The sequence below is a fragment of the Homo sapiens genome, chromosome 1 (genome assembly GCF_000001405.40).
Source record: "Homo sapiens chromosome 1, GRCh38.p14 Primary Assembly".
NCBI lineage: Eukaryota > Metazoa > Chordata > Mammalia > Primates > Hominidae > Homo > Homo sapiens.
Window position 1 is genome coordinate 32,379,772 of NC_000001.11, and position 18,327 is coordinate 32,398,098.

Here is an 18,327-nt window from a genome sequence, read left to right on the forward strand (position 1 = left end):
GTACACTGTCCTCTTCATGCCAACTGACTCTTCCTAGGTTCTGGCCTTACCTCTGACACGGGATTCCTACCTAGCCTCCTAACTGGTCTTCCTGTCTTCTGTCTTTCTCTCTATTTCATTCTTCACAATGCTGCCCCAAGGGCTGCTTTACAAAATGCAAACTCTGATCACCCCAGGCCTCAAAACCTTTCATTGGCTCTCTATGGGAGGGCTTTTTAAGCTGGAGTCCAAGATGGGCTTCAAAGGGTCAAAGAATTCTCATATTGCACAAAAAGTTTGGTGGAGAGAGGGCTTGTCATTTTCAATAGATTTGTAAAGGCCTTTGTGACTAAAGAGAGGTCTAGAGCTACTACTGTGAGCCTTTTAGGCCAAAATTCCAACTGCCTGGTCTGGCACACAAAGCTCTTCACAATCTGGCTCCCACGAGCTGCTCTCACTGCCTTCACTTCCTCATACGCACCCTTTAACCCGGCGTTACTAAAAGGCGGGTGCTCCCTGCTCTCTCTGCCCACTCTCTTTGCCTGAATGCTCTTCCCGACTTCTCATAGTGAAACTAGCTGATTTCTAATTTAACCTTAAAACCCCAACTCCGTCCAGGCACGGTGGCTCATGCCTGTAATCCCTGCATTTTTGGGAGGCTGAGACGGGTGGGTCACCTGAGGTCAGGAGTTTGAGACCAGCCTGACCAACATGGTGAAACCCTGTCTCTACTAAAAATACAAAAATTAGCCAGATGTGGTGGCGGGCGCCTGTAAGCCCAGCTACTCGGGAGGCTGAGGAAAGAGAATTGCTAGAACCCGGGAGGCGGAGGTTGCAGTGAGCCGAGATCGCGCCATTGCACTCCATCCTGGGAGACAGGGTGAGACTCCATCTCAAAAACAAACAAACAAACAAACAAACAAACAAAACCCAACTCCAGCATCACTTGCTTGGTTCCCAGGCCAGGAAGGGTGCCATTCCTCTGGCTCCTGCTGCCCCGCTGCTCTGCAGAAGCAGTCATGCTGCTCTCTAGTATTTCTACTTTATTGACTGTTTCTGCTTTCCCCCTCTTAACTGCCAGTTCCTGGAGGGTTGGACTAGGTGGAGGGTTTGGCTCATTTCTGATCTCCAGTTCCCATAATGGGGTTTGCTGCATGGCAGGGGCTTAGCTAACAGGAGCTGAAGAGAAGGCAAGGGGGGCAGCAGGGCTGGGAGGGAGGCTGAGCTGAGGATGAGGGATGAGAGGGGCCAAGTCCCTGCAGGGTGGGCAGGACAGCTCAAGTTCAGGAAAGAAAAGAGAACATCCACCCACCCCACAAAGTATAAGGTACACACTAGTCTCACTCTGGTCTCCCTACATAGGGGGTGCCCGGCCTCTGCTACCTGAGACAAACAGGGTCTACAACCCAGCCCCCTTAGTCTACTTGCCCTACAAGCCCACCCGCTCAGTGCTACCCTCTCACCATCTGGTTCATTACAGTAGGTTGCTGGGTCCGACTGCAGGCTATAGAGGCGAGCCTGTAAGAAAAGGAGAAGAGGAAAACAGAAATTCTGAGATACTGGGCATAGAAAGCACCCTTTCTCTGCCAGGATACTCAGTCAACCACAATCCAGCTTCTCCCTTGTTGGCTGGGATACCCCCAGGGCATCTGTTAATTAGCACTGTGGCACAGAGAGTGGGGCACTAGGCTAGGCATCCAAAACTGGGGTTCCCAGAAAAATGGCCTTTCACCCAGTATTCTACCCCAAGAACTAAGAAAATACAGCATAAGCAGGCTACAAAATTATTTGTATAAAATGCTTTGTAGTAAGTAAAATTTGAAAAATGTTAGTGCCAATATGTTAATAAAGTCAAAATTTAGGGACAAATTTTAAAATAACACAATTTCCCTCAAATTAAAACCACTCAAGAATTTATTAATTGTATAGCCAGTCTCTACCAAGTTACGTTCCCACTAGGATCACAGGGTGGCAAACTTAGCTGGCAAAGACAAAGTCCACCTTTCTTCCTCAGTATTGCAGGAAGCATGGGCTATGTGTAAGCGGTCTGGTGATAATTCACTGTCGTTATAGCTCAAAATCTTATCAAACATTTTCACAATTCCACTCACATGTTCACTAAGTGGTGGCGCTAATGCTAGTGCTAAAACACATACTTGAAAAATCAGTACTTTTGGAACAAAAGTTCAATGTGGGCCGGGTGCGGTGGCTCACGCCTGTAATCCCAGCACTCTGGGAGGCCAAGGTAGGTGGATCTCTGGAGGTCTGGAGTTCAAAACCAGCCTGGCCAACATGGTGAAACCCCATCTCTACTAAAAATACAAAAATTAGCCGGGCATGGTGATGTGCGCCTGTAATCCCAGATACTCAGGATGCTGAGGCAGGAGAATCGCTTGAACCCAGGAGGTGGAGGTTGCAGTGAGCCGAGATTGCTCCACTGCACTCCAGTCTGGGCGACAGAGAGAGACTCCATCTCAAAAAAAAAAAAAAAAACAGAAGTCAATGTGATAAAATGCTACAAAGCCAGCCTAGGCAACATGGGGAAACCCTATTTCTACAAGCATAAAAATTAGCTGAGCGTGGTGATGTGTGCCTATAGTCCCAGCTGCTCAGGAGGCTGAGGTGGGAGGAGCACCTTAGGAGATCGAGGCTGCCATGAGCTGTGATCGCACCACTGCACTCCAGCCTGGGGGACAGAGGGAGACCCTATTTCAAAAAAAAAACAAAAAACAAAAAACAAACAAAAAAACTACGAAGAGGGCCCAACTGCCATGACATTATATTGTGAATTTAGAAGAAAACACTCCATGAAATAGAAAATACAATGTGGCCAGGCGCGGTGGCTTACGCCTGTAATCTCAGTACTTTAGGGGGCTGAGGTAGGAGGATCACTTGAGCCCAGGGGTTTGAGACCAGCCTAGGCAGAATAGGGAGACCTCATCGCTACAAAAAAAAAAAAAAAAGGCCAGGTGTGGTGGTGCACGCCTGTGGTCCCCGCTACTAGGGATACTAGGGAGGTTGAGGTGGGAGGAACACTTGAGACCAGGAAGTTGAAGCTGCAGTGAGCTGGGATCATGCCACCGCACTCCAGCCTGGGTGACAGAGTGAGACCGTCTCAAAAAAAAAAAAAAAAAAAAAAGAAGAAGAAAAGAAAATGCAGCAAAAATACGCTACTGTGGCTGTTGCTTTAAGTGCTCTGAAGACACCTCTCTCCCCTTACCTATACGTGTATTACTAGAAATTAGTCTAAATAACCCAAATGTGGAGATTATGCCTCTAAAAATGCTCTCCACAGCGTTCCTTATTATGCTTGAAAGCTGAAAGGAATCCAAATATGCAACATGAAGGAAATAATGGAATAAATAATGCTATATTCACTTGTAAGAATTTAAAGACATTAAAAATTATGGCTGGCTGGGCACAGTGGCTCACTCCTGTAATCCTAGCACTTTGGGAGACCAAGCTGGGAGTCACTTGAGCCTAGGCATTTGAGACCAGCCTGGGCAACACAGTGAGACCCCGTTTCTACCAAAATAATTTTTTTAAATTAGTTGGGTGTGGTGGTTCACGCCAGTGGTCCCAGCTACTCAGGAGACTGAGGTGGAAGGACCCTTGAGCCTGGAAAGTCGGGGCTGCAATGAGCCATGATTGTGCCACTGAGCCCCAGAGAGAGCTTGGGTGACAGAGTGAGACCCTGTCTCATTAAAAAAAAAAAAAAAGATGATTAGGAAAGATGCTATGTTTGTTGATTTTTTAAAAGTAGGTTACAAAACTGCATGTATAAAATGTCTTTTTTGTTCAGAAGAAAAAACCAAACTATCTTTACCTATGTTTATAAACAAAAACAAATGTAAGGTTATATACCAATAAGAAATCAGGGGTTCTCTTTGGGTGATGCAATTGTGAGTTTAAAAATAATTATCCTGTCCTTGCTTACTGGTATTTTCTGATTTACTATTAATAATATACCCATATTTATTTTTTGGCCTGAACATGGGCTGCTTTTGTGAGTACAGGATGGAAGTTAAAGCCCAGGTTACAGATGTTAGGCATCTGCAGGGGAGACTGTCAGTGAATACCTTGGTGCCATCATAGGGCTCAGCTGTGCCAGACGGTGTGCCCATCAGGGTGATGACATCGCAGTCGATGGTTTTGTCTGGCGAAGGGGCAAAGGTGTCTGAGATCACCCCTAGGAAGTCAGATAACCCTTTCTTCATCTTCTCTGTTGCTCCTGAGGAGCCTTCCGTCTGTATAGAGAACGGGCAGAGGAAGCAAGCGCCCCGGGAACAGGCTGCAATCTGGGGTATGGGGGTAAAACATTGGGGCAAAGGTGTACCGTGTGTTGGGGGACCAGGGAAGCGCTCACGACCCTTCACCCGTCTCTGGGGCTGCAGGAGAGGGAGGAGGCAAGGGTCCTCCATCCCCCAAGTGGGGCTGCAGAACAGGGCCATGGTAGGCCTGTGTAGATCAGAGATCTTTGATTGGCTGTTTCATCAAAATTTCAAGGTCAGTCAGGCCGGTCAAAACTTGGCCAGAGAAGGTCCATGCCATAGACACATCAACAGGGAAGAGAGCCTATGGGTAGAGTGGTGGAAAGGGTACTAGCTTCGGAGTTAGACAAAGCTGGTTTGAATCCTTGCTCTACCACTTGTTGGTCATGAGACCGAAACCCTTTCTGAACCTCAGTTTCCTTATTATAAAATGGGGTTAAGTATACATCCTTCATAGGGTTACCATGAAGATTAAAAGATAGGGTATGGACAATGCCTGGCACACAGCATACGCTTAATAAACTGCAGCATTGTAATACTGCAATTTCATCATCATCATTGCTCAGGAAGTAGAATACTTTGTACAAAAGGTTGGAAACATATGGGCAGGATTAGAACAGATAGCCTTGCCTTGCCTGGGACCAACTGAGGGTCACTATACAGACCACACTGGTCAGAATGCCTTCCAGCAGACAGGGATAGGGTGCTGAGAAAAGGGTCTAAAAACCTCATGGAAAATTTTATTTACTCTTGATTAAGCTGCTGAAGCATTTTAAACCTAGAACCTATCATAGTGCCTGGCACATATTGTTACAGGTAACAATATTTGTTGAATGAAAAAAAAAAGAATAAATGAATGAAATAAACAAGTGATATCTCTGCTATTGACTAGACTTATAGCAGTTTAGCAGGGTTACAACTTGTCATTCATGCTCATCAGTAGCTGTGATTAGCAGGTGGACGGTATTTTACAAGAGGATTCAGCAAAATAAGCTTGTCTAAAAAAATTCCAAAACTCATTTTTTGTAACATGAGTAATTAATTACAAGATAATTGATTCAGCTGGTGATCAAATTAAGAAGCTGCAATCTGTTCCAATGCTAAAGGAAAAATTGTAATATAAAAAACAGTATGCTTTACCTCACTGGAAACTTCAGAACTTTGCAGGGATATCTTTGACCACAATTTTTCCTTCTCACACTGACTTTAGAATCTAACTTCCATCTTATAAGAGGTTTCCACTGTACATTTCTGATTAATAAAAACAGTATTGGGGGAGGGGGACAAGGATTGAAAAACTACCTATGGGGTACTAGTCGGTGATGGGTTCATTAAAAGCCCAAACCTCAGCATATACACAATATGCCCATGTAACAAACCTGTGCATGTATCCCCTGAATCTAAAATTAGAAAACAACAAACAAGCCAGGCACGGTGGCTCATGCCTGTAATCCCAGCACTTTGGGAGGCCGAAGCAGGTGGATCCCTTTAGCTCAGGAGTTTGAGACCAGCCTGGGCAACAGAGTGAAACCCTATCTCTACAAAAAATACAAAAATTAGCTGGGTGTGGTGGCATGCACCTGTGGTCCCAGCTATTTGGGAGGCTGAGGTGGGGGAATCACTTGAGCCCAGGAGGCAAAGGTTGCAATGAGCTGAGATCATGCCACTGCACTCCAGCCTGGGCAAGAGAGAGAGACCCCGTCTCAAAACAATAACCACCACCACCAAAGAACAGGACCAGTAAGAAAATAAGTTGGTACAACATTTCTGGAGGGCAGTTTTGAGTAGATAGTAAAAGGCTTAACCTAACCACTCTGTGATACTTTCCACAATTTTATTATAAAGCAAATATTATGGCACTGGGTAAAGGTTTAGTAGAATGTTTACTGTAGCTCAGTGTACAATACTGGAAAAAACTGAAGTAAGAAAGCAGCAACTGGTTAAATCCACATAATGGAATACCATGCCACTTACTACACTCTAGAATAAGGTTTGCAGTTTAAGTAAAAAAATAAGGGCTGGGCGCGGTGGCTCACGCCTGTAGTCCCAGCACTTTGGGAGATTGAGGTGGGCAGATCACAAGGTCAGGAGATCGAGACCATCCTGGCTAACACGGTGCACCCCGTCTCTACTAAAAAATACAAAAAACTAGCCAGGCGTGGTGGCGGGCGCCTGTAGCCCCAGCTACTTGGGAGGCTGAGGCAGGAGAATAGCATGAACCCGGGAGGCGGAGCTTGCAGTGAGCCGAGATGGCGCCACTGCACTCCAGCCTGGGCGACAGATGGAGACTCCAACTCAAAAAAAAAAAAAAAAAAAAAATAGGTTACAAAACATGGTGTTCAATTGACCCCAGTTTTGAAAAAGAAGTGTACATAAGTGATACACCCCCAAAATATTAACAGTAGCTATCTTTGGAAGATGGAATTATGGATGTCTCTAGGTCTTTCTCTCTCTCTCTTCCTTTTCTCATTCTTTCTCTTTTCTTTCACTTGTCTGTGTTTTCTAAATTGTCAACATGAATGACTTTGCTAATGGAAAACATTTGCTAAAACAATACAGAAGTGGGAAAACTAATTATTACTTAAAATATGCAGCTTGTTTGGTTGCCAGACACAATTCTTTCAAAATGGGAGGAAAAGTAATCCACATATTTTTCCCCATATGGAAAAATAATCACTTAATGGTAGAAAGGTTGGGAGCCCAGGACAGGACAGGTTGCGAGGGGCAGTTACTTGGGAGGGTTTGGGTGGTACTCACAGCCAGCTTCTCCTTGACCACGCTGGCCGTGGCTGCGATGGTACAGGCCGTGTCATGCTGCACCACCTGGGTAAACTCCGTCAGGTCCCGCTTCATAAACTCCAAGGCTTCAGAGGACTGTGGGAAGACAGAGAGGGATGCCAGGGCCAGCTGGCCCCACCACCCCTTGTTCCTGTTCCCTGTGTTTCTTCAGTACCAGACAGACAAATGGAAATCTCCAGCGGCAGGGGAGCTTCGGCTCAGAAACAATGCTCATTTGTCCCAATTCCATGATCTGGGATTACCTGACAGCAGAGAGTGCAGGGGAATTTCCTGCTACTCTGAGCATGAGGACTGAGTCTCAGCCTAGGCACTCGCAAGCTATGTGGCCATGAGTAAGTCTCATCTAGTTCTCAGTTTTCTCCTGTAAAATGAGGTGATCTAGATCAGAGATTCTCAAGAGCAAACAGGAAAAGAGGGGGCATAGTCTGAAAACAATACTGACTTTGATGAATTGCTTTGATATGCTTTAAATCACGATATTCATACCAAGTTTCAAATAACATGAAAAAAAGGTATGTGATTTTTTTTTTTTTTTCTTGAGACAGAGTCTCGCTCTCGTTGCCCAGGCTGGAGTGCAATGGCACGATCTCGGCTCACCGCAACCTCCGCCTCCCGGGTTCAAGCGATTTTCGTGCCTCAGCCTCCCGAGTAGCTGGGATTACAGGCATGCGCCACCACGCCCAGCTAATTTTGTATTTTTAGTAGAGATGGGGTTTCTCCATGTTGGTCAGGCTGGTCTCGAACTCCCAACCTCAGGTGATCCGCCCACCTTGGCCTCCCAAAGTGTTGAGATTATAGGCGTGAGCCACCCAGCCTAAGGCATGTGATTTTTTTTATCAAAGGAAAGTGTTTCTATTTTTACTTTTTTTGTTACAGAGAAATTGAGTTGAAATATGAGGCAGTATGTGAAGTTATTTGCCTTCGGGTTTAAGAATTAGTAATTACTAATTGTATTAGTAACAGCAATAGCTTGGAAAGCTATTTTATGAGTAATTCTTAACAATTTAATATCAGTAAAAAGGCATGTGATTTTTTACATTCAACAAAGGAGGAAGCGGTCAAGAGAAAGACTAGATCAGATTCTCTTGGAGGCCTTCTTGGTTCTACCATCCCGAGGTTCTATTCATATACAAAGCTCCTTTGGGCAGAATGCATATTTGCTCCTGCTAAACCAATCTGTTTCTCAGCCTGCACCCAGACCTCACTTGAGAAAGCAGACCCTCAGCTCACTTCTAGGTCTTGCCCTGTCTTGCTTCAGACTCACCAACTCTAGGATGCTTCCTGGAGTATCTCAGTGGCCACTCCCCCTGCAAGCCCTTTCATCTTACACGGGGATAATCACCTGCATTTTTTAAAGCATGTTTTTGAGCGCTCCTGTGGTTTGTTCTTCTGGGAAGGGCCTGCCCACTTTTCATTAGCTTGGGAAGTTTCTGAATGGCACAGTCTATCAGCTACAGGCTTCTCTAGGGGTGGTAATCATGCCTCCATATCAACTCAGGACTCCTTAATTGGGGGTGGAGGAGGTCATTTACTTATTTACTTTTATTAAAATTTTAAAAAATATTTCACAGCACCATGAAATTGTGCCCTGGGTCATTTACCGATTCACTCTTTCTATCCACACTGCCACCATCTTAGTCCAGGCCAACTTATTCTTTCACCTGGATTCCTCCCAGGTTGTCTCAGCCACCTTTACTTCATTCTCCTTATGACACCCAGTGGGTGCTTTGTCTGTCAGGGCAGACCGTGCTGCTTTACACTCTTTAAGTTTACACACTATCCTAAGAGCAAATTGAAAATCCACCTTTACTTACAAAGCCTATATAACTTGGCCTCTGGCAGACTGGTATCCCCTACCACTGTGCCGTTCACTGAGCTCCAGCTGGCCTTCCTCAAGTTTCTAAAATGCCCTAGCATCTGTCCTGCCTCAGAGTATCTGAACACATTGTTTCCTCTCCCTGATACAGAGTTCTAACTCTTCAAAAAAACCAAGTCTGTAAACACGATGAAGGAACCCTCTTATCTGGAAAACTCCTGTTCATCCTCAACGTCTATGCTTCATTTCCCTAGAGGGGCTTCCTGCTGCCTCTTCAGGCTCAGCTGGCTCTCCCTGCTTTATCTCTTCTTCTTTTTTTTCTTTTTTTTTTTTTTTGAGATGGAGTTTCGCTCTGTTACCCAGGCTGGAGTGCAGTGGCGCGATCTCTGCTCACTGCAACCTCTGCCTCCCGGGTTCATGCCATTCTCCTGCCTCAGCCTCCCGAGTAGCTGGGACTACAGGCGCCCGCCACCAAGCCCAGCTAATTTTTTGTATTTTTAGTAGAGACGGGATTTCACTGTGTTAGCCAGGATGGTCTCGATCTCCTGACCTCATGATTCGCCCACCTTGGCCTCCCAATTTATCTCTTTTCTAACACTGAACATAGTTTAGACTTCAGATGACCTGTTCAATGTCTGTCTTCCTGGATAAACTGTGAGTTGTGTGAACACAGGTCCTATGTGTTTTGTTCCCTGATGGTTCCCCAGTATCTGACACAGAGCATACAGTAGGTACTCAAAAAATGTTTGCTTGTTAAATTTACATGGACCATTGAAATTTCAATTATGTAACCACTTGTGTGACTAAACAGTTGTCTTCCCGCTAGACTGTGAGCTCTGAGCAGACAAACATGAACATACGTTGCCCTCAAGCAGGTCACAGTCTACTGGGGAAAATGGTCCCATGATAGTGCTGATGTGCAAGGGCAGAGCAGTAGCTGCTGTACTATGGGGAGGTTGGGAAGATGTGGTGACCAGAAGCCTGGAATGGGCCCTTAAAGAATGAACAGGAGTTGGTTAAGAAGTATTGATGTGGGCCAGGTGCAGTGGCTGATGCCTGTAATCCCAGCACTTTGGGAAGCCGAGGCAGGAGGATTGCTTGAGCCCAGGAATTTGAGACCAGTTTGGACACTATGGCAAAACCGTCTCCACACACACACACACACACACACACACAAATACAAAAAATTAGCCAGAAGTGGTGGTACACGCCTATAGTCCCAGCTACCCAGGAGGCTGAGGTGGGAGAATCACCTGAGCCTGGGTGGTTGAGGCTGCAGTGGGCTGTGATCATGCCACTGCACTCCAGTCTGGGTAACAGAGTGAGACCCTGTCTCAAAAAAAAAAAAAAAAAAGAACAGGAGTCAGCTAAGAAGTGTTGACATGGGTTTAGTGACGTCTACAAGCATTACAGTCCTGATGGACATAAAATGTGAAGCAAGAGTGGTGAGGGATAAAGCTGGAGAGGTTGCCAAGGGCAACCAGGGAGAGCCTGGTCAGCCCTATGGATGATGGGGAGCCACCAAAGGTTTGAAGTGGGTGGGACATGAGATTTGCCTTTTCACTAAATTACTCCAGTGACTGGAATGGAGGAAAGGTCCAGAGGCGAGAAGATTAGAAGAGGAAGAAGGAAGACCAGTCAGGAGGCTGCTGCAATAATCCAGGAAAGAAAATAGAAAAATGTGAGTAAGGACAATGCTAGTAAAGATGGAGAGGATGAGACTGGTTCAAGATACAGGAGATGGAAGAAGGTGGATTTGGTGACTGAACAGGTATGTTGACTGAGGGCTAGAAAAGAATCATGGAAGCACCACAGGCTGCTAAAATAGGTGACTGCGTAGATGCAGTACTGCCAGCTAAGTGAGAAAATCCTGGAGGAGGAGCAGTCCTAGAGACAAGGTGGTAACAATGACTTTGGGCACGCAGAACTTGAGATGACTGTGGGCTGTCTAGGATAGCTGTCCAGCAATAGCTATCCTCAAACACTAAAGCTGGCCGGGCATGGTGGCTCATGCCTGTAGTCCCAGCACTTTGGGAGACCAAGGTGGGCAGACTGCTTGAGCCTAGGGGTTTGAGACCAGCCTGGGCAACATGGCGAGATCTCATCTCTACAAAAAATACAAAAATTAGTTGGGCGTGATGGTACACGCCTATAGTCCCAGCTACTTGGGGGCCTGAGGTGGGAGGATTGCTTGAATCCAGGAAGTGGAGGTTGCAGAGAACCATGTTTGCATCACTGCACTTCAGCTTGGGTGACAAAGTGAGAGCCCATCTCAAAACAAAGCAAAACACAACACTAAAGTTCAGGCAAAAGGTCTAAGAGTCGCCCTAACAGGAAAGTGGAGAAGGTGACCCAGGAAGAGTTTGGAAAGTGGACAGAGCAATGGGCTGAGGACAAGTGTCCTCAGACACTACCTGTAGGGGGCAAGCAGAGGAAGAGGAACTCATGAGACAGTTACAAAAGCAACGTCTGGAGAAGTATGTGGAGACTTAAGAATCATGTCACAAATGCCAAGAGAGTAGCGTTTCAAGAGAGGGAGTGATCACTAGCGTCAAATGCAGCAGAATGGTCCAGGAAGATAAGGGCTGAAAACCACCCACTGGATTTGGCAAGCAGTAGGTAAAGCTGACTGAGTAAAGATAAGTTTATAGGTGGTGGCTTTGAGGGTGGGGAGAGAGTTAAAGATCCTGTTTGTTCACCTGAAGTTTCAAAAAGTAGATGAGGTTGTCTCCTGGAAGTGAAAGGGATAAAGCGGCTGAATAGGGGACCCCAGGGAAGAGTTAGGTTTTGGGAAAGTTTCTGAAGTTAAGGGGAGGAGAAGCAAATTGGAGACTGAAGAGTATGTGGGCCCAGATGAGGTTGGGGAATCTGTGATGGAACCAAAAAGCATTTGGTGCCTTTCTCTTTTTAATTTCTTCTTTCTGGTAAGTATGTAGAGCAATGATATGCCTTTCTCTATCAACGTGTATGCACACGTATTTGTGTCAGTCATATTGCCCTTGACAACACACAGGAAGACAGGACAGGAGGAGGTAAGGAGCAGAGGAAAGCAGATGATAGCACCATCTCATAGCTGTGGTCTTCAGGGCAATGTGTTCTAAGGAGTGCTGAGAAGTGAGTGGTCCAGATGGAGCCAGAATGGGACATACAGATAGGAAAGCACCAAAAGACCAAGAAAAAAAATGGAAGGAAAAACGAACTGGGGGTGGTATCTAAGAGGTTTTCCCATCAGCCTCAGCACTTAATAACAGCTAATGCTTATATAGCACTTACTGTATGCTAGGTACTGTTCTTAGTGTTTTACATATATTAACATTTAACCATCACCACAATCTCATCAAGTAGGTATTGTTAGTATTCCCATTTTATAGATGAGGAACTGAGGCCTAGAGAGGTTAAAAACTTGCCCAAGAGGCCAGGCGTGGTGGCTCACACCTGTAATCCTAGCACTTTGGGAGGCCGAGGCAGGCGGATCACCTGAGGTCAGGAGTTTGAGACCAGCCTGGCCAACATGGTGAAACCCTGTCTCTATTGAAAATAGAAAAATTAGCTGGGCGTGGTGGCACATGCCTGTAATCCCAGCTACTCAGGAGGCCGAGGCAGGAGAATCACTTGAACTCAGGAGGCGGAAGTTGCAGAGCTGAGACTGAGCCACTGCACTCCAGCCTGGTAACAGAGCCAGACTTGGTCTCAAAAACAAACAAACAAAAAACAAAAAACACTTGCCCAAGTACATATAAGAGTAAGAAAGTAAAAAAAGGGAAATTACGTCTTTTCTTTCCAAAAAGGCATAAACAACTCCCACCTCCACCCCCACCCCAGCTTTTAACTGGGAATTCCAAGAATGAAGACGGAAGGTTGGCCAACTATCTATTTTTCATAAGTTATGATAAGACCAACCTTGAGACAAACACAGGAGGCCCTCATGCAACATCTGCTGAATGAATGTCAGACTTTCCTGCCAGGAAATTACCCAACAGGAAATATGCTACTATCGGGTCTCTTCTATCAAATGTTAGGGTGCAAGCCTCTCAGTCCTCATCAACAACATAAACAGCTCAGGGCATTCTCAGATTTGCTGGGCTATTGCTGAGAGGCTGTCCAGGAGTACCCAGGATAAGGGAGGAATAAAAACGCTCCCAGATGTCTGGGTGTGGTGGCTCACGCCTATAATCCCAGCACTTTGGGAAGCTGAGGCAGGTGGCTCACCTGAGGTGAGGAGTTCGAGACCAGTCTGGCCAACATGGTGAAACCCTGTCTCTACTAAAAATACAAAAATTAGCCAGGAGTAGTGGCACATGCCTGTAATCCCAGCTACTCGGGAGGCTGAGGCACAAGAATCACTTCAATCTGGGAGGCAGAGGTTGCAGCGAGCTGAGACCGCACCTGTGCACTCCAGCCTAGGTGACAGAGTGAGACTCTGTCTCAAAACAAAACAAAAATACTCCCAGAGTAGAGGACTTATTTAGGTGAGGTCAGAAGCTTCCTGGAGTTGGCCCTGAAGCAGGACTCATCCCAATTGCTTGAGGTAAATAGTAATCAACTTTTCCCACAATTCAGTTGGGCTGATTTTGACAAATAAGCATGAAATGAAACAGGAATACACATTGGCAAATTACCCACTGGCACAGCCAAATATCACTCATCCCACAGAGATTGTTCAGCAAGAAGGCCTTCCACTCTCTGGTGATTAATCTCTCTCTCTCTACTGCCCGTTGCATAGCCCCTACTTAGAACTCATCAGGCACCAGTGTGTATGGCTCATGCTCATCTCTGGCTTGGGTTCTTGCTTTTCATCCTGTCTAGGCAGGGTTGCCCTTGATGAGGTTCCTTCTCCACAGGGGCCTTCCCTGGTGAGTTACTGACTAACCAGAACAGACAAGGTGCCCCTGTACTTTCCTTTCACAGAACTTACCACAACGGTAACTAAACAACTATTTGTTTGGCTACTCGGTTAATGGCTGTCTCTCCACTAGACTGTGAGCTTTGTAAGGCCCAGGATTACATCTGTTTGGCTGAAGTCTGTATCCTCAAGACCTATCAGAGTGCTGGTTGTCGCATATACTCTAATATTTGAATGACTATACGAGTAAGTTTTTTTACTGCTAGAATCTTTTCCTTCAAGACCTGTATCAAATGCTCTCTCTTTCACGAAGAAACTGAATTTCCTGAGCTGGAATAAATTGCTCCTTCCTATGGATTCCTACAAAACGTTCGTTAACTCCAGCCTTTAAAACCATCTTTATTTCACTGTGGCTAGTATCACACTGGTTTGCGTCGAGGTCTGTCTTCCCGTGGACCGGTAGAGGCTAAAAGAAAGGCCCAGGTCAGCCTCATCCTTGAGACTTAGCGCCCGCAAAAGTTGGGCGGGGCTGGTTGGACCAGGTTGCATTGAGGCGGCGCAGGGCCCTGCTGAGGGAAGAAGGGCACGGGCCCGGCTTACCTTCTCTTTGACTGCTTGGTAGCTCTGCTGCAGCCAGCTCCGCCACCATCCCACGTCCTCCCTGTGGAAGACAGACACATCTGGCAGCACCGCGGTGCGATTCCTGCCCGCCCAAGGATCCGGTTTGTTCCCCGCTCAGATGTACCCTGCGGGCCGAGGCTTCGCAGACCGCTTGCCCACCCCCTCACAATGCGACTCCACTCTGCCCTTTCAGATCAGTCCACGCCCCCGCTGATCTCACGTTCCCCACCGGGACTCTCGCCCAGCACCCCAACCCTGGGAGAATTCAGGCCCCAACGCCTAGGAGCAAAACGACAAGCTCACCCTTCCGCCATCTTGCCTGCATGACATCACCACTATTTACTGACCTTTGACTTCCGACACGGCACCGCCCCCTCAAGGACCGCCCCCGAGGCGCTCGGCCCAATCCTCGCGCCGGCACCGCCCTCAGCCCAATCCCCTCCCTGCGCCATCATTAGGTCCCGCCTCCCTGAACTCTATCCAGTCTCTGTCCCGAGTTCGCCCTCAAACTCCGCCCCTGAACTCTCAGTTCAATCGTCATTCAGTCCTGTCCTCAGGCTCCACCAAGCTTGACTCTTTGTCACTGTCCGCAAACGTCGGGTACGGTGGCCTCTATGGACGATGATCAGCCGACAAGCTGGACTGCGGAGAGCTGGGAGCAGAGGGGAGGAGGAGAGATAGCTCGAACGTCAGGATCCCAGAGCGCAGGGTTAGGACCGCCCCCCTTTGTGAAACCAGCTGCGTAGAGGCTGCTTTGTGTCTCTTTGGGCTAATTCAATAAGCCCATATTGCGGGGCTGTGGCCCAGAGTTTGGAGGAATGTGAATAATTCAGAGGCGACTTAGATGCAGCCTTTGGAGGGCTTACGGGTTAATGGGAGACACACACATTCAGTAATCTCAACTTTCGGTGGCCCAGCTCAGAACAACGCCAGGTGGAGGTGGTCTGGAGAAATCCGGAGACCGCCTGGATTGAGTTCTACTGCGATTGGAAGGGAGATTCCACAGCCCACATACTTTGGACTTTAATTAAGGTCAGCCCCTCCACGTGTGCGGTAGATCCCATCGCCTCTTGTTTGCTTAAGGACATAGATCTAGTAATCCCCCCTTCATCTCTTTTCCCTCTGATGACTGCATTTATCCTTGTCATCATCCGTACTGCTGTTTCTCCCATCTCAAAGGCAAACAAAAACCAGCCCTCTCTATATCCCTCACCGTTTCCCTACTCCCCTTTACAGCAAAAGCGTTGCCTACTCACAGTCTGCAACTCCCCTCTCCTCCCATTCTCTCTTGAACTCACTGCAGTTAGGTTTTTGCCTCTCAGACAATCCTTTGAAATAACTTTCTTTTATTTATTTAATTTTATTTAATTTTATTTATTTTATATTTATTTGTAGCTCTGCTGCAGCCAGCTCCGCCACCATCCCACGTCCTCCCTGTGGAAGACGGACACATCTATTTTATTTATTTATTTATTTTTGGTCCTCCCTGTGGAAGACGGAAACATCTATTTTATTTATTTATTTATTTTGAGTCAGAGTCTTGCTCTGTTGCCCGGGCTGGAGTGTAGTGGTGCAATCTCAGCTCGCTGCAACCTCTGCCTCCCGGGTTCAAGCGATTCTCCTGCCTCAGCCTCCCGAGTATCTGGGATTACAGTTGTGCACCACCATGCCCGACTAATTTTTGTATGTTTAGTAGAGATGGGGTTTCACTATGTTGGCCAGGCTTGTCTCGAACTCCTGACTTCAGGTGATCTGCCCTCCTCAGCCTCCCAAAGTGCTGGGATTACAGGCATGAACCACTGCACCCAGCCTGACATAACTTTCTTAAGGTCGCCAAGAGGAATGGCCACTTTTCAGTTCTTGTTTTACATCCGCATCTTATTTGACACAGTTGACCACTTTCTTCATTTGGCTTCCAGGACATCATGCCCTCTTGACTTTCTTCCCCGTTCATTGGCATCTCAGTATTCTTTGCTGTTTTCTCACCGCCTTCTTGTTGCTGGAATGGGATATTCCCTGGGAGAAGGCTCAGCCCTTGGTGTCCTCCTCCTTTTTGATGTTTATAGTCATTCCCCAGATATTCTCATAAAGTCTCATGATTTTATTTATTATTATTTTTTAAGATGGAGTCTCACTCTATTGCCCAGGCTGGAGTGCAGTGGCATGATCTTGGCTCACTGCAACCTCTGCCTCCTGGGTTCAAATGACTCTCCTGCCTCAGCGTCCAGAATAGCTGGGATTACAGGCACCCACCACCACACCCAGCTAATTTTGTATTTTTAGTAGAGATGGGGTTTCACCATGTTGGCCGGGCTGGTCTTGAACTCCTGGCCTCAGGTGATCCACCCACCTCGGCCTCTGAAAGTGCTGGGAGTACAGGCGTGAGCCACTGCTCCTGGCCCATTTTATTTTATTTTTAAGACAGGATCTTACTCTGTCGCCATATTAGTCCATTTTCACACTGCTAATAAAGACATACCTGAGACTGGGCAATTTACAAAAGAAAGAGTTTTACTGGACTCACAGTTCCACATGGCCAGGGAGACCTCACAATGATGGAGGAAGGTGAAAGGCACATCTCACATGGTGGCAGACAAGAGAAGAGAGCTTGTGCAGGGAAACTCCCGATTTTAAAACCATCAGATCTCATGAGAACCATTCACTATTATGAGAAAAGCACGGGAAAAACCCGCCCCCACCATGATTCAGTCATCTCTCACCAGGTCCCTTCTACAACACGTGGGAATTATGGAGCTACAAGATGAGATTTGGGTGGGAACACAGAGCCAAACCATATCAGTTGCCCAGGCTGGAGTGCAGTGGCACGATCATGGCTCACTGCAGCCTTGACTTCCTGAACTCAAGCAATCCTCCTGCCTCAGTCTCCTGAGTAGCTGGGACTACAGGCATGCACCATCAAGCCCAGCTATTATTATTTTTTTAAATAGAGATGAGGTCTCCCTGTGTTGCCTTACTTTTAATTTTTCTTTAGCAGTGCTTCACTATGTTGCCCAGGCTGGTCTCAAACTCCTGGCCTCTAGTGATCCACCCACCTTGGCTTCCCAAAGTGCTGAGATTACAGGTGTGAGCCATCTCACTAATCTCATACTTTTAAATGCCATGTATATGCTGATGGCTCTCAAATTTCCTCTCCAACCCATACATTTTCTCTGAACATCAGGTTCATTTTGTCTATTTGCATGTGTAATAGGTGTATTATTTTTAACATGTCCCAAAACAAACTCTTGATTTATCCACCTCATCTTCCTGCAAACTTTCCCACATTTGTAAATGGAACCTCATTATTCCAGTTGCTCGAGCCAAAAACCTAGGAGTCATCCTTGCTTTCTCACTTTCTTTCATACTCCCAAACTAATCCCATCAGCAAATCCAGTTGGCTCTGCCTTTCAAACAAAACCAGAATCTAGTGACTTCTCACCACCTCCACTGTTATTATGTAGATACAAGCTACCATAATCAATCTCATGGTTAATTACAAGAGCCTCTTAACAAATATTTCTGCATCCACTCTTGCCTTCCTTAAGTCTAGTCTTCATTTGCCTGAAAGTAATCTTTTAAAAGACATACGTCACTGGGAATGCAACTGGTATGGAATACAATATGCCATTTCCTCAAAAAAATTAAACAGAATTACCATATGATCCAGCACTTCCACTTCTGAGTATATACCCAAAAGAATAGAAGGCAAGTACTCAAACAGATATTTGGTGGTTTTTTGTTTGTTTGCTTGTTTGTTTTGAGATGGAGTTTTGCTCTTGTCACCCAGGCTGGAGTGCAATGGCACGATCCCAGCTCACTGCAACCTCTGCCTCCCGGGTTCAAGCAGTTCTCCTGCCTTAGCCTCCCTAGTAGCTGAAACTACAGGCGCATGCCACCACGCCCAGCTAATTTTTTTTTTTTTGAGACAGAGTTTCTTTCTCGTCACCCAAGCTGGAGTGACAAGCAATCTTGGCTCACTGCAACCTCCACCTCCCAGG

The 18,327-nt window shown here is 46.5% G+C and overlaps 1 protein-coding gene across 7 annotated transcripts in view, besides 6 other annotated features; it reads right to left on the reverse strand.

Moving 5' to 3' along the window:
- Nucleotides 1–14,670, reverse strand: part of BSDC1 (BSD domain containing 1) — a 29,809-nt gene extending 15,139 nt beyond the window's left edge. For 3 of the 7 annotated variants that reach the window (NM_001143888.3, NM_001300958.2, XM_047423812.1), the window contains exons 1-5: nt 14,633–14,670; nt 14,309–14,369; nt 7,008–7,124; nt 4,059–4,277; nt 1,443–1,497 (exon numbers count right to left, since the gene is read on the reverse strand). In NM_001143888.3, coding sequence (NP_001137360.1) covers nt 1,443–1,497; nt 4,059–4,277; nt 7,008–7,124; nt 14,309–14,369; nt 14,633–14,643 — 463 coding nt within the window. In that variant the 5' untranslated portion in view covers nt 14,644–14,670. The remainder of the gene's footprint in view (nt 1–1,442; nt 1,498–4,058; nt 4,278–7,007; nt 7,125–14,308; nt 14,370–14,632) is intronic. The other 4 variants (NR_125352.2, NM_018045.8, NM_001143889.3 and 1 more) reach the window with 3 other exon arrangements.
- Nucleotides 13,711–14,408: an enhancer, noted in NCBI's record as "NANOG-H3K27ac-H3K4me1 hESC enhancer chr1:32859083-32859780 (GRCh37/hg19 assembly coordinates)". NCBI's record gives its function as "activates a minimal SCP1, AML or CMV promoter by ChIP-STARR-seq in primed H9 embryonic stem cells {active_cell/tissue: H9 hESC(primed)}" and the evidence as "EXISTENCE:reporter gene assay evidence [ECO:0000049][PMID:30033119]".
- Nucleotides 14,396–14,685: an enhancer, noted in NCBI's record as "active region_687". NCBI's record gives its function as "activates an Ori minimal core promoter by ATAC-STARR-seq in GM12878 lymphoblastoid cells {active_cell/tissue: GM12878}" and the evidence as "EXISTENCE:reporter gene assay evidence [ECO:0000049][PMID:35858748]".
- Nucleotides 14,396–15,104: a biological region, named in NCBI's record as "NANOG-H3K27ac-H3K4me1 hESC enhancer GRCh37_chr1:32859781-32860476".
- Nucleotides 14,409–15,104: an enhancer, noted in NCBI's record as "NANOG-H3K27ac-H3K4me1 hESC enhancer chr1:32859781-32860476 (GRCh37/hg19 assembly coordinates)". NCBI's record gives its function as "activates a minimal SCP1, AML or CMV promoter by ChIP-STARR-seq in primed H9 embryonic stem cells {active_cell/tissue: H9 hESC(primed)}" and the evidence as "EXISTENCE:reporter gene assay evidence [ECO:0000049][PMID:30033119]".
- Nucleotides 14,976–15,055: an enhancer, noted in NCBI's record as "active region_688". NCBI's record gives its function as "activates an Ori minimal core promoter by ATAC-STARR-seq in GM12878 lymphoblastoid cells {active_cell/tissue: GM12878}" and the evidence as "EXISTENCE:reporter gene assay evidence [ECO:0000049][PMID:35858748]".
- Nucleotides 15,803–16,498: an enhancer, noted in NCBI's record as "H3K27ac hESC enhancer chr1:32861175-32861870 (GRCh37/hg19 assembly coordinates)". NCBI's record gives its function as "activates a minimal SCP1, AML or CMV promoter by ChIP-STARR-seq in naive H9 embryonic stem cells {active_cell/tissue: H9 hESC(naive)}" and the evidence as "EXISTENCE:reporter gene assay evidence [ECO:0000049][PMID:30033119]".